The sequence below is a fragment of the Homo sapiens genome, chromosome 19, assembly GCF_000001405.40.
Source record: "Homo sapiens chromosome 19, GRCh38.p14 Primary Assembly".
NCBI classification, from domain to species: Eukaryota; Metazoa; Chordata; class Mammalia; order Primates; family Hominidae; genus Homo; species Homo sapiens.
This window is the reverse complement of record NC_000019.10, coordinates 41951711-41966447: the sequence shown is the minus strand read 5'-3', so window position 1 is coordinate 41966447 and position 14737 is coordinate 41951711. Positions and strand designations below refer to the sequence as shown.

Below are 14737 nucleotides of genomic sequence, written 5' to 3'. Positions count from 1 at the left end.
CTCAGAGCCATCTAATCACGGAGTTTTCAACTCCACGAAAGTCAGAGCAGCTTGAATTCACCAGGCGATGGCATTGTGGAATCAGAACAGGGGAGAGGGAGGGAAGCAGACGTGGGATGGTGACTGGGAGCCTCTCCTATAGGAGTAGGACCCAGGGGACACAATGACGATGATGATGGTGATGACAGTGATTCACTGAGTGCCTGCTATGTGCTCTGCCCACTTCTAAGTGTGCATTAAATGTGCACAGAGAGAAGAAGTGATTTGCACACAGCTAAGAAGAGACAAATCTGGGATTTGAACCAAGGCTGTCCAAAGTTCTAGGTCACTACGCTATTCTCTCTTTTTATTGAGATAAACTTTCATACAGTGAAGTGCACGCATCTTAAGGGTATAGCTCAATGATTTTAAAAATTGCATCTGCAGGCCAAGCGCGGTGGCTCCCGCCTGTAATCCCAGCACTTTGGGAGGCCCAGGCGGGCGGGTCACTTGAGGTCAGGAGTACGAGACCAGCCTGGCCAACATGGCGAAACCCCATCTCTACGAAAAATACAAAAAAAAAAAAAAAAAAAAACTGGGCGCAGTGGCTCACACCTGTAATCCCAGCACTTTGGAAGGCCGAGGCGGGCAGATCACAAGGCCAGGAGATCGAGACTATCCTGGCTAACATGGTGAAACCCCGTCTCCACTAAAAATTAAAAAAAAATTAGCCTGGCGTGGCGGCACTCATCTGTAATCCCAGCTACTTGGGAGGCTGAGGCAGGAGAATGGCATGAACCTGGGAGGCGGAGCTTGCAGTGAGCCAAGATCCCACTACTGCACTCCAGCCTGGGTGACAAAGCGAGACTCCGTCTCAAAAACAAAAAAACAAAAAAACAAAAAACTTAGCTGGGCATGGTGGTGCATGCCTGTAATCCCAGCTACTCAGGAGGCTGAAGCAGGAGAATTGCTTGAACCCGGGAGGCAGAGGTTGCAGTAATCCGAGATCATGCCACTGCACTCCAGCCTGGGCAACAGCGAGAACCCGTCTCAAAAAAAAAAAAAAAGTTGCATCTGCAAAGCTACCACCCACATCAAGGCATAGAACCTTTCCCTCCACCCAGAAAGTTCACTGGAGCCCCTCCAGTCGCCTCCCCTCCAGAGGCAAGAGCTGATCTGGTTTCTGTTACCACACATCAGTTGTGCCTGTTCTTGAGCTTCATACAAATGAAATCTTACAGCATGTGATCTCTGTGTCTGGCTCCTTGTTCTCAGCATTATGTCTATAGGAGTCATCCATATTGTCACCTGCATCTGTGGCCCCTTCCTTTTCATCCCATTGTGGGACTATAACACAATTTGTCTATTCTCCTGTTGGGGGACTTAGGGGTTTCCAGTTTGGGGCTATTACAATTGGTGCTGCTAGGGACAGGAACATCCTAGTCATGTCTTTTTTTTTTTTTTTTTTTGAAATGGAGTCTTGCTTTGTCACCCAGGTTAGAGTGCAGTGGCACCATCTCAGCTCACTGCAACCTTCACCTCCTGGGTTCAAGCGATTCTCCTGCCTCAGCCTCCCAAGTAGCTGGGATTACAGGCACCTGCCAACATGCCCGGCTAGTTTTTGTATTTTTATTAGAGACTGGGTTTTGCCATGTTGGCCAGGCTGGTCTCAAACTCCTGACCTCAAGTGATCCGCCCACCAACATGGTGAAACGCCGTCTCTACTAAAAATACAAAAACTAGCTGGGCGTGGTGGCATGTGCTTGTAATCCCAGCTACTCACAGGGCTGAGGCAGGAGAATCACTGGAACCTGGGAGGTGGAGGTTGCAGTGAGCCGAGGTCACGCCACTGCACTTCAGCTTGGGTGACAGAGTGAGACCCCATCTAAAAAGAAAAACAAAAAACAGGCACGGTGGCTCACGCCTATAATCCCAGCACTTTGGGAGGCTGAGGCAGGCAGATCACCTGAGGTCGGGAGTTCGAGACCAGCCTGACCAACATGGAGAAACCCCCATCTCTACTAAAAATACAAAATTATCCGGGCATGGTGGCACACTCCTCTAATCCCAGCTACTTGGGAGGCTGGGGCAGGAGAATTGCTTGAACCCGGGAGGCGGAGGTTCCAGTGAGCTGAGATCGAGCCGTTGCACTCCAGCCTGGGCAACAAGAGTGAAACTCCATCTCAACAACAACAAAAAAAAAGTGATCCACCCACCTCAGCCTCCTAAAGTGCTGAGATTACAGGCACGAGCCACTGCACCCAGCCCTCTAGTTATGTCTTTTTTTTTTTTTTTTTTTTTGAGACGGAGTCTCGCTCTGTCGCCCAGGCTAGAATGCAGTGGTGCGATCTCGGCTCACTGCAAGCTCCGCCTCCCGGGTTGACACCATTCTCCTGCCTCAGCCTCCCGAGTAGCTGGGACTACAGGCGCCCGCCGCTACGCCCGGCTAATTTTTTGTATGTTTAGTAGAGACGAGGTTTCACCGTGTTAGCCAGGATGGTCTCAATCTCCTGACCTCGTGATCCACCCGCCTCGGCCTCCCAAAGTGCTGGGATTACAGGCGTGAGCCACCGCGCCCGGCCTTTCTTTTTTTTTTTTTTTTTTAAGACGGAGTCTCGCTCTGTCACCAGGCTGGAGTGCACTGGCACGATCTTGGCTCACTGCAATCTCCACCTCCCGGGTTCAAGTGATTCCTCTGCCTCAGCCTCCCGAGTAGCTGGGACTACAGGCGTGCACCACCACGCCCAGCTAATTTTTGTGTTTTTAGTACAGACGGGGTTTCACCATGTTGGTCAGGTTGGTCTCGAACTCCTGACCTTGTGATCTGCCCACCTCGGCCTCCCAAAGTGCTGGGATTACAGGCCTGAGCCACCGCGCCCAGCCCTCTAGTTGTGTCTTTTAATGACAGATGTGCACTCTGTTGGGTACACGCGTGCCTGGGAGTGGAATTGCTGGTTCATGGGATAGACCATGTTTAGCTTTCATGGACGTTGCCAGACCCTTTCCAAAGTTCGAGTGCCATTCTGCATCCAACAGTGTAAGGAAGCAGCAGCTGCTCCACATCCTTCCTCCACTGGGAGTTGTCAGTCCTTTTCATTTTTGCCACCTTGGTGGGGCAGTGAATCCATTTCCCTCGAGGCAGCCTTCCTAACACAGCTCAGGGAGGCAAGTCAGAGGAGGGGCTGGGGCCAGGCCTGGGCCTGCCTGCCTCCCAATGCCAGTGTCTGTGGCCAGGATGCTGAGAGTGAGTGTGAGTGGGTGAGTGTGCAAGTGCATGTACACACCCACTGCACAAGACAATGGATGAGGGAGAAACTCCCGAATCTGAGGGGGAAAGGCAGTTGGAGGGCAGGGGCCATGTGCGCTGGGCACCCCTGGTGACCCCAGAGTACAGCCTGGTCCTGGTAGGGGCTACATGAGCCCAGACCTCTCCTAGGAAACCCACACATACTGTTTAATTTTTCTGGTGCAGGGGAAGAGACGCTCCCATAGACAGGTGGGGAGACTGAGGCCCAGAGACGGGAGGGCTTTCCTTGAGGTCACACAGCAGGGACAGTGACCCACATTTCTGGCTGAATGTGCTAAGGTCTTCCTGCTTTCCCAGCACCGCTTCCTTGGGGATCCCAGGAGGGAGGGAGGAGTCCTCAGGCTGGAGGCACCCATCTTTTTCTTTTTTTTTTTTTTTTTTTTGAGATAGGGTCTCGTACAGTGGCACAGTCTCAGCTCACTGCAACCTCTGCCTCCTGGGTTCAAGCGATTCTCTTGACTCAGCCTCCTGAGTAGCTGGGATTACAGGCGTGCACCATCACGCCGAGCTAATTTTTTTTTGTATGTTTAGTAAAGATGGGGTTTCACCATGTTGGGCAGGCTGGTCTCGAACTCCTGGCCTTAAGTGATCCGCCCATCTTGGCCTCCCAAAGTGCTGAGATTACAGGCGTGAGCCACACCTGGCCTGGGACTCACAATCTTCTCAGGTGCCCCCTCATCTCCCAGCACACCAACCCCCTACCCCCCTAATTCAGGGCCCATCTGCCAAAGGCCCCTTCCCTCAGGGACCCCATTTCTCACCATCTCATGATGTCTCTGCCTCAGGCCCTCCTCTCCCACATTACCCCTGTGTCCAGGTCCCATCTCCTGAAATTCCCTTATTCAAAGTCCCCCCCCACCCTCCCACTCCTAGGACCCCTCCTGCAATGTCCTTGCCCCTCAGACTCCACTGTCCCCCTCCCCGTCTCTTGCCATGGCCTGCGCTGTTCGACACCTCCAGGCCTCTGCCTCTATGTTCTCTGCTCAGAACAAAGACCAGTGGGTTTTGGAATGAAATTGCTTTCATTCAGTTCCTATAAGGAAACCCAACAGCTCTCATAACAAAAGTCCATCCTGAATCTCCTACGGCCTGCCACCAAAGAGGCAGCTGGAGCTCTGTCCCAATTCTATTCCCCAAGCTCTGTCTTTCGGTGGAGGTTCTTCCAAGGGCTACCTCTGCTGCTTTGGCCCTTTGAATTCAGATGCTGCTCCCCTATTCCTGCTCGGGGCTAATTGTGCTATTGCACTCCTCCTTTGGTGTTTTCTGTTTTGTTTTGTTTTGTTTTTTTCTGAGACAGGGTCTCATTCTGTCGCCCAGGCTGGAGTGCGATAGCACACTCTTGGCTCACTGCAACCTCCGCCTCCTGGGTTCAAGTGATTCTCCTGCCTCAGCCTCCCGAGTAGCTGGGATTACAGGCATGTGTATTTTTTTTTTTAGTAGAGATGGGCTTTTGCCATGTTGGCCAGGCTGGTGTTGAACTCCTGACCTCAAGTGATCCACCCTCCTGAGCCTCCCATAAGTGCTGGGATTACAGGACCACGCCCAGCCCCGCAGTCCTCCTTTGATTTTCAAGTTTGAATCCTATTTAGAAAACCTGATTCCAGGCCAGGTGTGATGGGTCACGCCTGTAATCCCAGCACTTTGGGAGGCTGAGGTGGGCAGATCACGAGGTCAGAGTTTGAGACCAGCCTGACCAACATGGTGAAACCCCGTCTCTATTAAAAATACACAAATTAGCTGGGCATGGTGGTGCACACCTGTAATCCCAGCTACTCAGGAGGCTGAGGCAGGAGAATCGCTTGAACCCGAGAGGCGGAGGTTGCAGTGAGTAGACATTGTGCCACTGTACTCCAGCCTGAGCAACAGAGTGAAACTCCATCTCAAAAAAAAAAAAAAAAAAAAAGGAAACCTGATTCCACTAAAAGCCTGGGGGTGACAAAGAGGAAATAAACAGTAACTAGCCAATCTGATCTTCAAAGTGTAACTCTTCCATCTTCAGTGTGGGGCCCTTGCAAAGGGCTTCCCTGCCTATTGCGCCACCAGCCCCTCAGACAGGGCCATCTTCCTCCCACCTCCTGGGAACACCTTCCAGCAGGCCTCAAAGCACAAACCCTAAACTGCTGTAGATCTTGGAAGACAAGAGCTGGGCCTAAAAGAGTCACTTGGGGCCAGGCGCAGTGGCTCACACCTGTAATCCCAGCACTTTGGGAGGCCGAGGCGGGCAAATCACAAAGTCAGGAGTTCGAGACCAGCCTGGCCAACATGGTGAAACCCCATCTTTACTAAAAATACAAAAAATTAGCTGGGCATAGTGGCGGGCGCCTGTAATCCCAGCTACTCGGGAGGCTGAGGCAGGAGAATCGCTTGAACCCAGGAGGAGGTGGAGGTTGCAGTGAGCCAAGATTGTGCCACTGCACTCCAGCCCTGGCGACAGAGTGAGACTCCGTCTCAAAAAAAAAAAAAAGTCACTTGAACCTGGGCATGGTGGCTCACACCTGTAATCCCAATACTTGGGAAGGCCAGGCAGAAGGATCGCTTGAGTCCAGGAGTTTGAGACCTACTGGGCCAACACAGCAAAATCCCTTATCTACTTAAAAAAATTTTCAAAAAAAAAAAGGTCACCTGGTTATCCCATATAGATATTTTCCTTCCAGCCCCACCCAGCTGCTTTGGAAAATTAGGATCCCAGTCTGCTTAAGGGAGCCCAGGCTTCCCTATACTTCCACACACATTTCTTGAGGCCCTGTTCTGGTTCACCCCATTAGAATTCAATTAGAATTCCAGCCCTGTGGGCCAGGCACAATGGCTCACGCCTGTAATCCCAGCACTTTGAGAGGCTGAGACAGGAAGATCACGAGGTCAGGAGTACGAGACCAGCCTGGCCAACATGGTGAAACCCCGTCTCTACTAAAAAAATACAAAAATTAGCTGGGCGTGGTGGCGGGCGCCTGTAATCCCAGCTACTCTGGAGGCTGAGGCAGGAGAATCGCTTGAACCCAGGAGGCAGAGGTTGCAGTGAGCCGAGATTGCGCCATTGCACTCCAGCCTGGGCAACAAGAGCGAGACTCCATTTCAAAAAAGCCCACAAAACTTCTCAACCTTTTGTCTTTCCCAACTTCACTCCCTTCTCTCCAAAGGTGTGTGTGGCGGGGTCGGAGGTGTCCCTAGCCCCAACTCATTCATCTTTGGGACTCCACAAGGTGGGGCAGGGGGCAACCTCAGATACCCCTCCAGCAACCATGGCCCCCTCACTAGCCTCAATCTCTTGAGGAAGGAATCAATTCCCACAAATTATCTAAATCTTTCTACTCAAAATGTAGTCCATGGACCAGGGGCATCAGCATCACCTGGGAACTCAGAAATGGAAATTATGGGCTCCACCCCAGACTTGCTGAATGAAAACATCTGGGCTAGGGCCCAGGAATCTGTTTTAGCAAGCCCTCCAGGTGTTTTTTTATGCCCTCTAGAGTCAGAAGGACAGCTCTGCACGGTCCCCATTGTGCCTTCCCTGGGAGAGTACACAACGCCCGCTTCTGCCGTTAGAGTTCCCATAACGCCCTCGCTCCTGACAGCCCACATGCACCCTCCTGAAACTACAACTCCTATAATACCCAGAGGCGCGCGCCGTCACTTTCTGGGATTATATCTCCCAAGGTGTTTTGCGAGTCAGACCGCCATCATAGCGCCCATCCTCTTAGTCACCGTCAGGACTACAACTCCCACAATACTCGGCGGCAGAACTACAGTCCCCAGCTGCTCCGGGGCTGCGCCACGTCGACTCCGCTGGGTGGGGCCGGCGTCGGGCGGGGCCGGCGGGGTCTTCAGGGTACCGGGCTGGTTACAGCAGCTCTACCCCTCACGACGCAGACATGGCAGCGCAGAAGGACCAGCAGAAAGATGCCGAGGCGGAAGGGCTGAGCGGCACGTGAGCGAGCTGGCTCTAGGCCCTCGGACCAGAGACCCGGGAGTCCGGGCCCCCGGCCCCCTCCTCCCTCCTCCCTCGAGAGCCTGGAGTCCCAGCCCCGAGCCGCAGAAGTGTTGGCCCCGGTCTCCTCTAATGGGACCCTGGAGTCTGGGCCCCTAGTCCCCTCCCTGCCTGCTGTACAGGAATCTGGGGTCCCGGGAGGGAGTCCAGGCACCCTTAGTCCCCTTCTTTTGCGGGGGTCTGGGGCTCCATCCCGGTCCACCACTGACCCGGCCCCACCCCCCGCAGGACCCTGCTGCCGAAGCTGATTCCCTCCGGTGCAGGCCGGGAGTGGCTGGAGCGGCGCCGCGCGACCATCCGGCCCTGGAGCACCTTCGTGGACCAGCAGCGCTTCTCACGGCCCCGCAACCTGGGAGAGCTGTGCCAGCGCCTCGTACGCAACGTGGAGTACTACCAGAGCAACTATGTGTTCGTGTTCCTGGGCCTCATCCTGTACTGTGTGTGAGTGCCTCCCGGGCCCCGCACCCGCACTAGCCCCGACCGGCTGGACCCCTCCTCTCGCCGCTCAGGCCCCGCCCTTCACCGCCCGGTCCCTCCTCTCACCGCCCAGGGCCCTCTTCTCACCGCCCAGGCCCCGCCCCCAAGGATTGGCTCTGCTAGACTACCTTGTCACCAAAGGGCCAGGTCCCCTACCCCACCATCACCCTGGCCAGGATGCAGTGTGACTAAATGTCACCTGGCCCTCCCTGGTCTCCAGGATGTAGCTTGCCGCCCGCCGGTGGAGAAGGCCAGGGCCGTCGGGCTGGCCCAGCCCCAGCTGTCTAACCGCTGCCTCCCTGCACTCCTCCTCCAGGGTGACGTCCCCTATGTTGCTGGTGGCTCTGGCTGTCTTTTTCGGCGCCTGTTACATTCTCTATCTGCGCACCTTGGAGTCCAAGCTTGTGCTCTTTGGTGAGAAACCCCCTGCCCAGATGAATCCTTGGTCCCTCAAATCTTGGTCTTTTGGAATGCAGACAGACCTCAGACCCCAAATCCAAGTCCTTCAAAACCCAAGTCCGCCCAAGCCTAGATGTACACTAGATCCCCCAAACCTGATCCCTTAAAATCTCAGACACAACCGATCCTTCCATCGAGTCTCAGCCCCCTCAAATTGCTATTCCTCAAACCCAGGATCCACCTGGCTGCTGTGCCTTAAACCTACTCCTTTTCAAACCACATGACTCCTCCCCTCTCTCTCCTCCCCTTGCCGCTCTCTGCGGCCAACATCAGCTGCAGGTGCCCACACTGGACACCAGGTGGCCACCTTACACTGGCCTAGATCTGTTCCCGTTTCTTTTCCTGCTTTCTGGGGTGTGACCAGAAAGAACTTGGAACTTAGAGAGGGAAGCCGAGGAGTATGTTTCATGTGGTTCCCAGACTAGTAGTACCAAGGACCACTGGGAAAACAAAATGCCAGGGGAAATTCCCCCCAGGGGAAAATCAAGGTTTGGAGTGGGGTCAGGGAGTTGGGATTGGACAGTTAGGTAGACCTGAAGGCCAGGCTCTTCAGGGGCCTGCAAGTTATGTGCTTGATGGGCTGGGGTGGAGGGAGTGCCTGAAGCACAGGCACGACTTGGCTTCAGCTGATCACCGTCACCAGAGCATGTAGACCCCATCCCTGAGACTTCTATGAGAAGCCTGAAGTTGGTATTTTTATGTGAAATCGTTCACTTTGCCAGCCACAAATCACATCCTTGCAAAACAGCTCAAAAAACACATCCACAGGTCAGATTTGGCCCTTGGGCCACCAGTTTGAGACCCTGGTCTGCGCGAGGGTTGCAGCAGGAGAGCCCTAGTCTAGGGAGCAGGAAGCCGGGATCCCAGGAACTTCCTGGAGGATGTGGGGCAGAGGGCAGAGGGTGGGGCTGAGGCAGGCGAGGACGGTGTGCTGTGTTCTGGAGGGCAGTGGGGACAGCAGGGGAACAGGGTGACCCCAGGACCTGGAGGGCCTTGGCATGAGGAGTTTGGATTCGATCCCGAGAACCTGGAGCTTGTACGGATTGTTGGGGGGCAGCAGGGGTTACTCTGGGAGAGGGCATGGAGAGTCGGAACAGCACCCCAATGCCATCTGCCCCCAGGCCGAGAGGTGAGCCCAGCGCATCAGTATGCTCTGGCTGGAGGCATCTCCTTCCCCTTCTTCTGGCTGGCTGGTGCGGGCTCGGCCGTCTTCTGGGTGCTGGGTGAGTACAGGGTCTGAGCAGCTGGGGTGGATGGTGGGAGCCAGGTGCAGGAGTGTGGCCCTGAGCTGCCGGCTTTCCTGCAGGAGCCACCCTGGTGGTCATCGGCTCCCACGCTGCCTTCCACCAGATTGAGGCTGTGGACGGGGAGGAGCTGCAGATGGAACCCGTGTGAGGTGTCTTCTGGGACCTGCCGGCCTCCCGGGCCAGCTGCCCCACCCCTGCCCATGCCTGTCCTGCACGGCTCTGCTGCTCGGGCCCACAGCGCCGTCCCATCACAAGCCCGGGGAGGGATCCCGCCTTTGAAAATAAAGCTGTTATGGGTGTCATTCAGGAAATATTCCCCCAGCATCTTCTGTGGGTCTCTATGGGTGGAGCTGGGAATACTGCACAGAGCAGGGTTGGGGTGGAACCTGGGGTGTGGGCAAGACGATGACAAGGTAAACAGGTAAAATATTATGGGATGCCCAATGGTGGTGAGTGTTCAGGAGGAGAAAAGAGTTGAGAAGGACAGTGTGCCGGGGGTCCCCGAGACCACCCCCAGGTTTGATGGTTCTTTAGGACTCAGGAATCAGAGAGCACCCCAGGTTTGATGGTTCTCTGGGACTGGGGACTCAGTATGCAATTGCACTCACAGCTCTGATTTACTCTCATCAAAGGGTATGGAGCCAAGTCAGCCAAAAGGAAAGGTGCATGGAGTGAACTCGGGAAACCAGGCATGCACTTCCAGAGGCCACACCTAATTCCTCCAGCAGTGGATCATGGTGACGTGTGAAATGTCAGCCAGGGACACTCTGATCCTAGCCTCAGCGCCCTTGGTTTCATGGGGGCGGCCACAAGAGCACCTTCTCTCCAACATATACCAAAATGCCAGGCTCCCAGAAAGAAGGCCTGTGCCTGCACGAACAGCCTAGATAGATGCAGCAAGCCACTCTAGGCCTGCACGAACAGCCTAGATAGATGCAGCGAGCCACTCTATCAGGAAGTGATAAGACCCCCCCCCCAACACCCAAGTTCCCAGCCAAGGACCAACTGTGCACCCAGGCCTGTCTAAGGACAGCAGTCTGTTGTGGAGCCTGCCAGGTTAACTCTTTTCTGCACAGAGAAAGTTCGGGAATGAGTTGTGGGTTAAAGAGGGTGACCAGAAAAGGCCTCCCTGACGTGACATTCACCAAAGACCTAAATTGAGAGAGGGAGCAGCCCAGATCCTTTGGAGGAAGAATAATTGGGGCAGAGGAAGCCACAGGGGCATAGCCTGGGAGATGGCAGCAGCCAGGAGGCTCGAGGGCAGCCAGGAGGTGGGCGTGGCTGGGGCAGATAAGCGAGGGGGACAGTGTGGGAGGCCAGGGAGCCTTGTGGGCCACGGTGAGGGCTTTGGGTTTTACTCTGCTTGAGATGAAAGACACAGTTTGCTTTTGTGAGATGGATTTTGCTTTGTTTCCCAGGCTGGTCTCAAATTCCTGGGCTCAAGCGATTCTCCCCCTGCAGCCTCCCATAGTGCTGGGACTACTGGTGTGAGCCACTGTGTCCAGCCCAGTTTGCTTCTTGCCTTTTGTTTTTTTGAGACAGGGTCTCACTTTATGGCCCAGGCTGGAGTGCAGTGGTGTGACCACTGCTCACTGCAGCATCTACCTCTTGGGCTCAAGTGAGCCTCCCACCTCAGCCTCCTGAGCAGCTGGGACCACAGGTGCACGCCACCACACCCAGCTAATTTTTTTTAACTTTTCATTAGACAGGGTCTCACTATGTTGCCTGGCCTGGTTTCAAACTCCTGGGCTGAAGCAATCCTCCTGCCTCAGCCTCTCAAAGTTCTGGGATTACAGGCATGAGCCACCGTGCCGGGTCCAGTTTGCCTTTCATCATGAGGTGGAGACTGCCACGTGGTAGCAGTAACAAAAGAGAAACACACTTGGGAGGGAAAGTGCCAGGCAGATGAAGACAAGGGAGGTGGCCGAGAGGGCCTAAGAAGTGACTTGATTTTTTTATTTTTATTTATTTGTTTATTTTTTTGAGATGGAGTCTCTCTCTGTCGCCCACGCTGGAGAGCAATGGTGTGATTTCGGCTCACTGTAACCTCCACTTCCAAGATTCAAGCTATTCTCCTGCCTCAGCCTCCCAGGTAGCTGGGATTATAGGTGCCCACCAACACGCCTGACTAATTTTTGTATTTTTAGTTTTATTTTTTAATTTTTTTGAGATGGAGTTTCGCTCTTGTTGCCCATGCTGGAGTGCAATGGCGCGATCTCGACTCACTGCAACCTCCACCTCCCGGTTTCAAGTGATTCTCCTGCCTCAGCCTCCCGAGTAGCTGGGATTACAGGCGCCTGCCACCACGCCCGGCTGATTTTTTTGTATTTTTGGTAGAGACAGGGTTTCACTGTGTTGCCCAGGCTGGTCTCGAACTCCTGACCTCAGGTGATCCACCTGTCTTGGCCTCCCAAAGTGCTAGGATTACATGTGTGAGCCACCGTGCCCCGCCAATTACTTTAGATAGGGGTGGTCTGGGAGGGCTCTCTGAGGAGACACAAGAAGTGGGTGGAGTTTCCCAAGGAGAGGGACAGCGAGTGCCAAGGCCTCAGGGATGCAGCCTCTCCAACCTCGTGTCTCCTCAGCAGAACTCACCCACTCATCCTTGATGCAGCAGGTGCTCACCCAGAGCCCACTGATGCCCACTGTTCTGGAATTCTCCTGTCAGATATGGTGGCCAGCCATATGCGGCTGCCTCAAACATGGCTGGTCCAAACTGAGACATGCTATGAGTGTGAAATGCACACCAGACTTCGAAGATTTAGTATGAAAATGGAGTAAAATATCTCAATAATTTTTATAGGCTGGGCATGGTGGCTCACACCTGTAATCCCAGCACTATTGGGAGGCTGAGGCAGGCAGATCACTTGAGGCCAGGAGTTTTAGACCAGCCTGGCCAATATGGTGAAACCCTGTGTCTACTAAAAGTACAAAAATTGGCCTGGCGCGGTGGCTTACGCCTGTAATCCCAGCACTTTGGGAGGCCGAGGCAGGTGGATCACGAGGTCAGGAGTTCAAGACCAGCCTGGCCAAGATGGTGAGACCCCGTCTCTACTAAAAATACAAAAAAATTGGCCGGGCATGGTGGCGGTGCACTGTAATCCCAGCTACTTGGGAGGCTGAGGCAGAGAATTGCTTGAACCCAGGGGGCGGAGGTTGCAGTGAGCCAAGATCGCACCACTGCACCCCAGCCTAGGCAACAGAGCAGGACTCCATCTCAAAAAAAAAAAAAAAAAAATTGGCATGGTGGCACATGCCTATAATCCCAGCTACTTGGGAGGTTAAGGCAGGAGAATTGTTTGAACCTGGGACACAGAGGTTGCAGTGAGCCAAGATTGTGCCACTGCACTCCAGCCTGGGTAACAGAGAAAGACTCTGTCTCAAAAATAATAATAATTTTTATGTTGATTATGTGTGTTGGAAGGATAATTTATTGATATAGTGGATTAAATTATTATTCATTTCACCTTTTGTTTTTTACTTTTAAAAACACGATTAAGAGGCCGGGCGCAGTGGCTCACGCCTGTAATCCCAGCGCTTTGGGAGGCTGAGGTGGGCGGATCACGAGGTCAGGAGATCGAGACCACCCTGGCTAACATGGTGAAACCCCGTCTCTACTAAAAATACAAAAAAATTAGCCAGGCGTGGTGGCAGGCGCCTGTAGTCCCAGCTACTCAGCGGGAGGATGGCGTGAACCTGGGAGGCGGAGCTTGCAGTGAGCCAATATCGCGCCACTGCACTCCAGCCTGGGTGACAGAGCGAGACTCGATCTCAAAAAAAAAAAAAAAGAAAAAAAACATGATTAAGGCTGGGCACCATGGCTCATGCCTGTATAATCCTAACACCTTGGGAAACCAAGGTGGGAGGATTGCATGAGCCCAAGAGTTTGAGACCAGCCTGGATAACACAACAAGACCCCCATCTCTGCAAAAAAGTTAAACAGTTATTTGGGCATGGTAGTGTGGGCCTGTAGTCCCAGCTACTTGGGAGGCTGAGGTGGGAGGATAACTTGAGTCCAGGAGTTCAATGCTACAGTGAGCCATGACTGCCACTGCACTCAGCCTGGGCAACACAGAGATACCCCATCTCTTTAAAAACAAACAAACAAGAGTTGCTGGGTGTGGTGGCTCATGCCTATAATCCCAGCACTTTGGGAAGCCAAGGTGGGTGGACTGCATGAGCTCAGAACTTCGAGACCAGCCTGGGCAACATGGCAACACCCTGTCTCTACAAAAAATACAAAAATTAGCCAGGTGTGGTGGCGCATGCCTGTGGTCCCAGCTACTTGGGAGGCAGAGGTGGGAGGATTGCTTGAGCCCAGTAGGTCAAGGCTGCAGTGGGCCGAGATTGCATCACCGCTGCACTCCAGCCTGGGTGACAGAGTGAGACCCTGTCTCAAAAAGAAGGCGGGGGCGGGGGGTGTGCGGATTAAATAGAAAATTGCAAGTTAGCCCGGGCATGATGGCTCATGCCTGTAATCCTAGCACTTTGGGAGGCTGAGGTGAGTGGATCACCTGAGGTCAGGAGTTCGAGATCAGCCTAGTCAACATGGCGAAACCCTGTCTCTACTAAAAATACAAAAATTAGCCCAGCATGGTGGTGCATACCTGTAATCCCAGCTACTCGGGAGGCTGAGGCAGGAGAATCGCTTGAACCTGGGGGGCGGAGGTTGCAGTGATCCAAGGTCGCGCCACTGCACTGCAATCTGGGCAACAGAGGGAGGCTCCCTCTAAAAAAAAAAAAAAGAAAGAGGAAAGGAAAGGAGAGGAAGGGGAAAAGGGAAGGGAAAAATAAAAGGAAAAGAGGGGAGGAGAGGGGAAGGGGAGGGGAGGGGAAGGGGAGGGGAGGGGAACGGGGACAGGGGAGGGGCGGGGCGGGGCAGAGAGGGTTATCCCTCTGAGGTTGTGTGGCGGATGGGCTGGAGGGAGTGAGACGAGGGACGATGATCCTAGCTGGGGAAGATGGGGCAGGGAAGTGGGGTGGAGAGGCGAGACAGGGAAGAGAGATTCAGGAGGTTGAAGGACAGGTCTTGGTGGCTGACTTGCGTGGGAGGTGAGTGGAAGGAAGCAGGAAGACCCCCAGGCTTCAGGCTTCCCAAAAGATGGGAAGACCAGGGGGAGCCTGGGTGTCTTGACGCCACACAGGAGTGCACTTCCAGAATCTGCCACCAGAGGGCAGACAAGTGCTTCCGCCAGGGAGGCAGTTAGAGATGGACTCATCCTGGGGCACCAGGCAGGGTGGGGACCCGGGGTGCCCCCGGCCAAGTCAGGTCACCTGGGCCTA

The 14737-nt window shown here is 54.1% G+C and overlaps 1 protein-coding gene across 1 annotated transcript, besides 3 other annotated features; it reads left to right on the top strand.

Annotated features, from left to right (window-relative positions):
• Positions 6750 to 7039: an enhancer, noted in NCBI's record as "active region_14695". NCBI's record gives its function as "activates an Ori minimal core promoter by ATAC-STARR-seq in GM12878 lymphoblastoid cells {active_cell/tissue: GM12878}" and the evidence as "EXISTENCE:reporter gene assay evidence [ECO:0000049][PMID:35858748]".
• RABAC1 (Rab acceptor 1) lies at positions 7127 to 9765 on the top strand. Its single transcript, NM_006423.3, has 5 exons — positions 7127 to 7211; positions 7500 to 7712; positions 8065 to 8162; positions 9329 to 9430; positions 9514 to 9765. The coding sequence occupies exons 1-5, from the start codon at positions 7156 to 7158 to the stop codon at positions 9600 to 9602; spliced, it is 558 nt and encodes a 185-aa protein (NP_006414.2). The 5' UTR covers positions 7127 to 7155; the 3' UTR covers positions 9603 to 9765.
• Positions 7150 to 7399: a silencer, noted in NCBI's record as "silent region_10680". NCBI's record gives its function as "represses an Ori minimal core promoter by ATAC-STARR-seq in GM12878 lymphoblastoid cells {active_cell/tissue: GM12878}" and the evidence as "EXISTENCE:reporter gene assay evidence [ECO:0000049][PMID:35858748]".
• Positions 7850 to 7919: a silencer, noted in NCBI's record as "silent region_10679". NCBI's record gives its function as "represses an Ori minimal core promoter by ATAC-STARR-seq in GM12878 lymphoblastoid cells {active_cell/tissue: GM12878}" and the evidence as "EXISTENCE:reporter gene assay evidence [ECO:0000049][PMID:35858748]".
• Positions 9766 to 14737: the final 4972 nt, after the last annotated feature.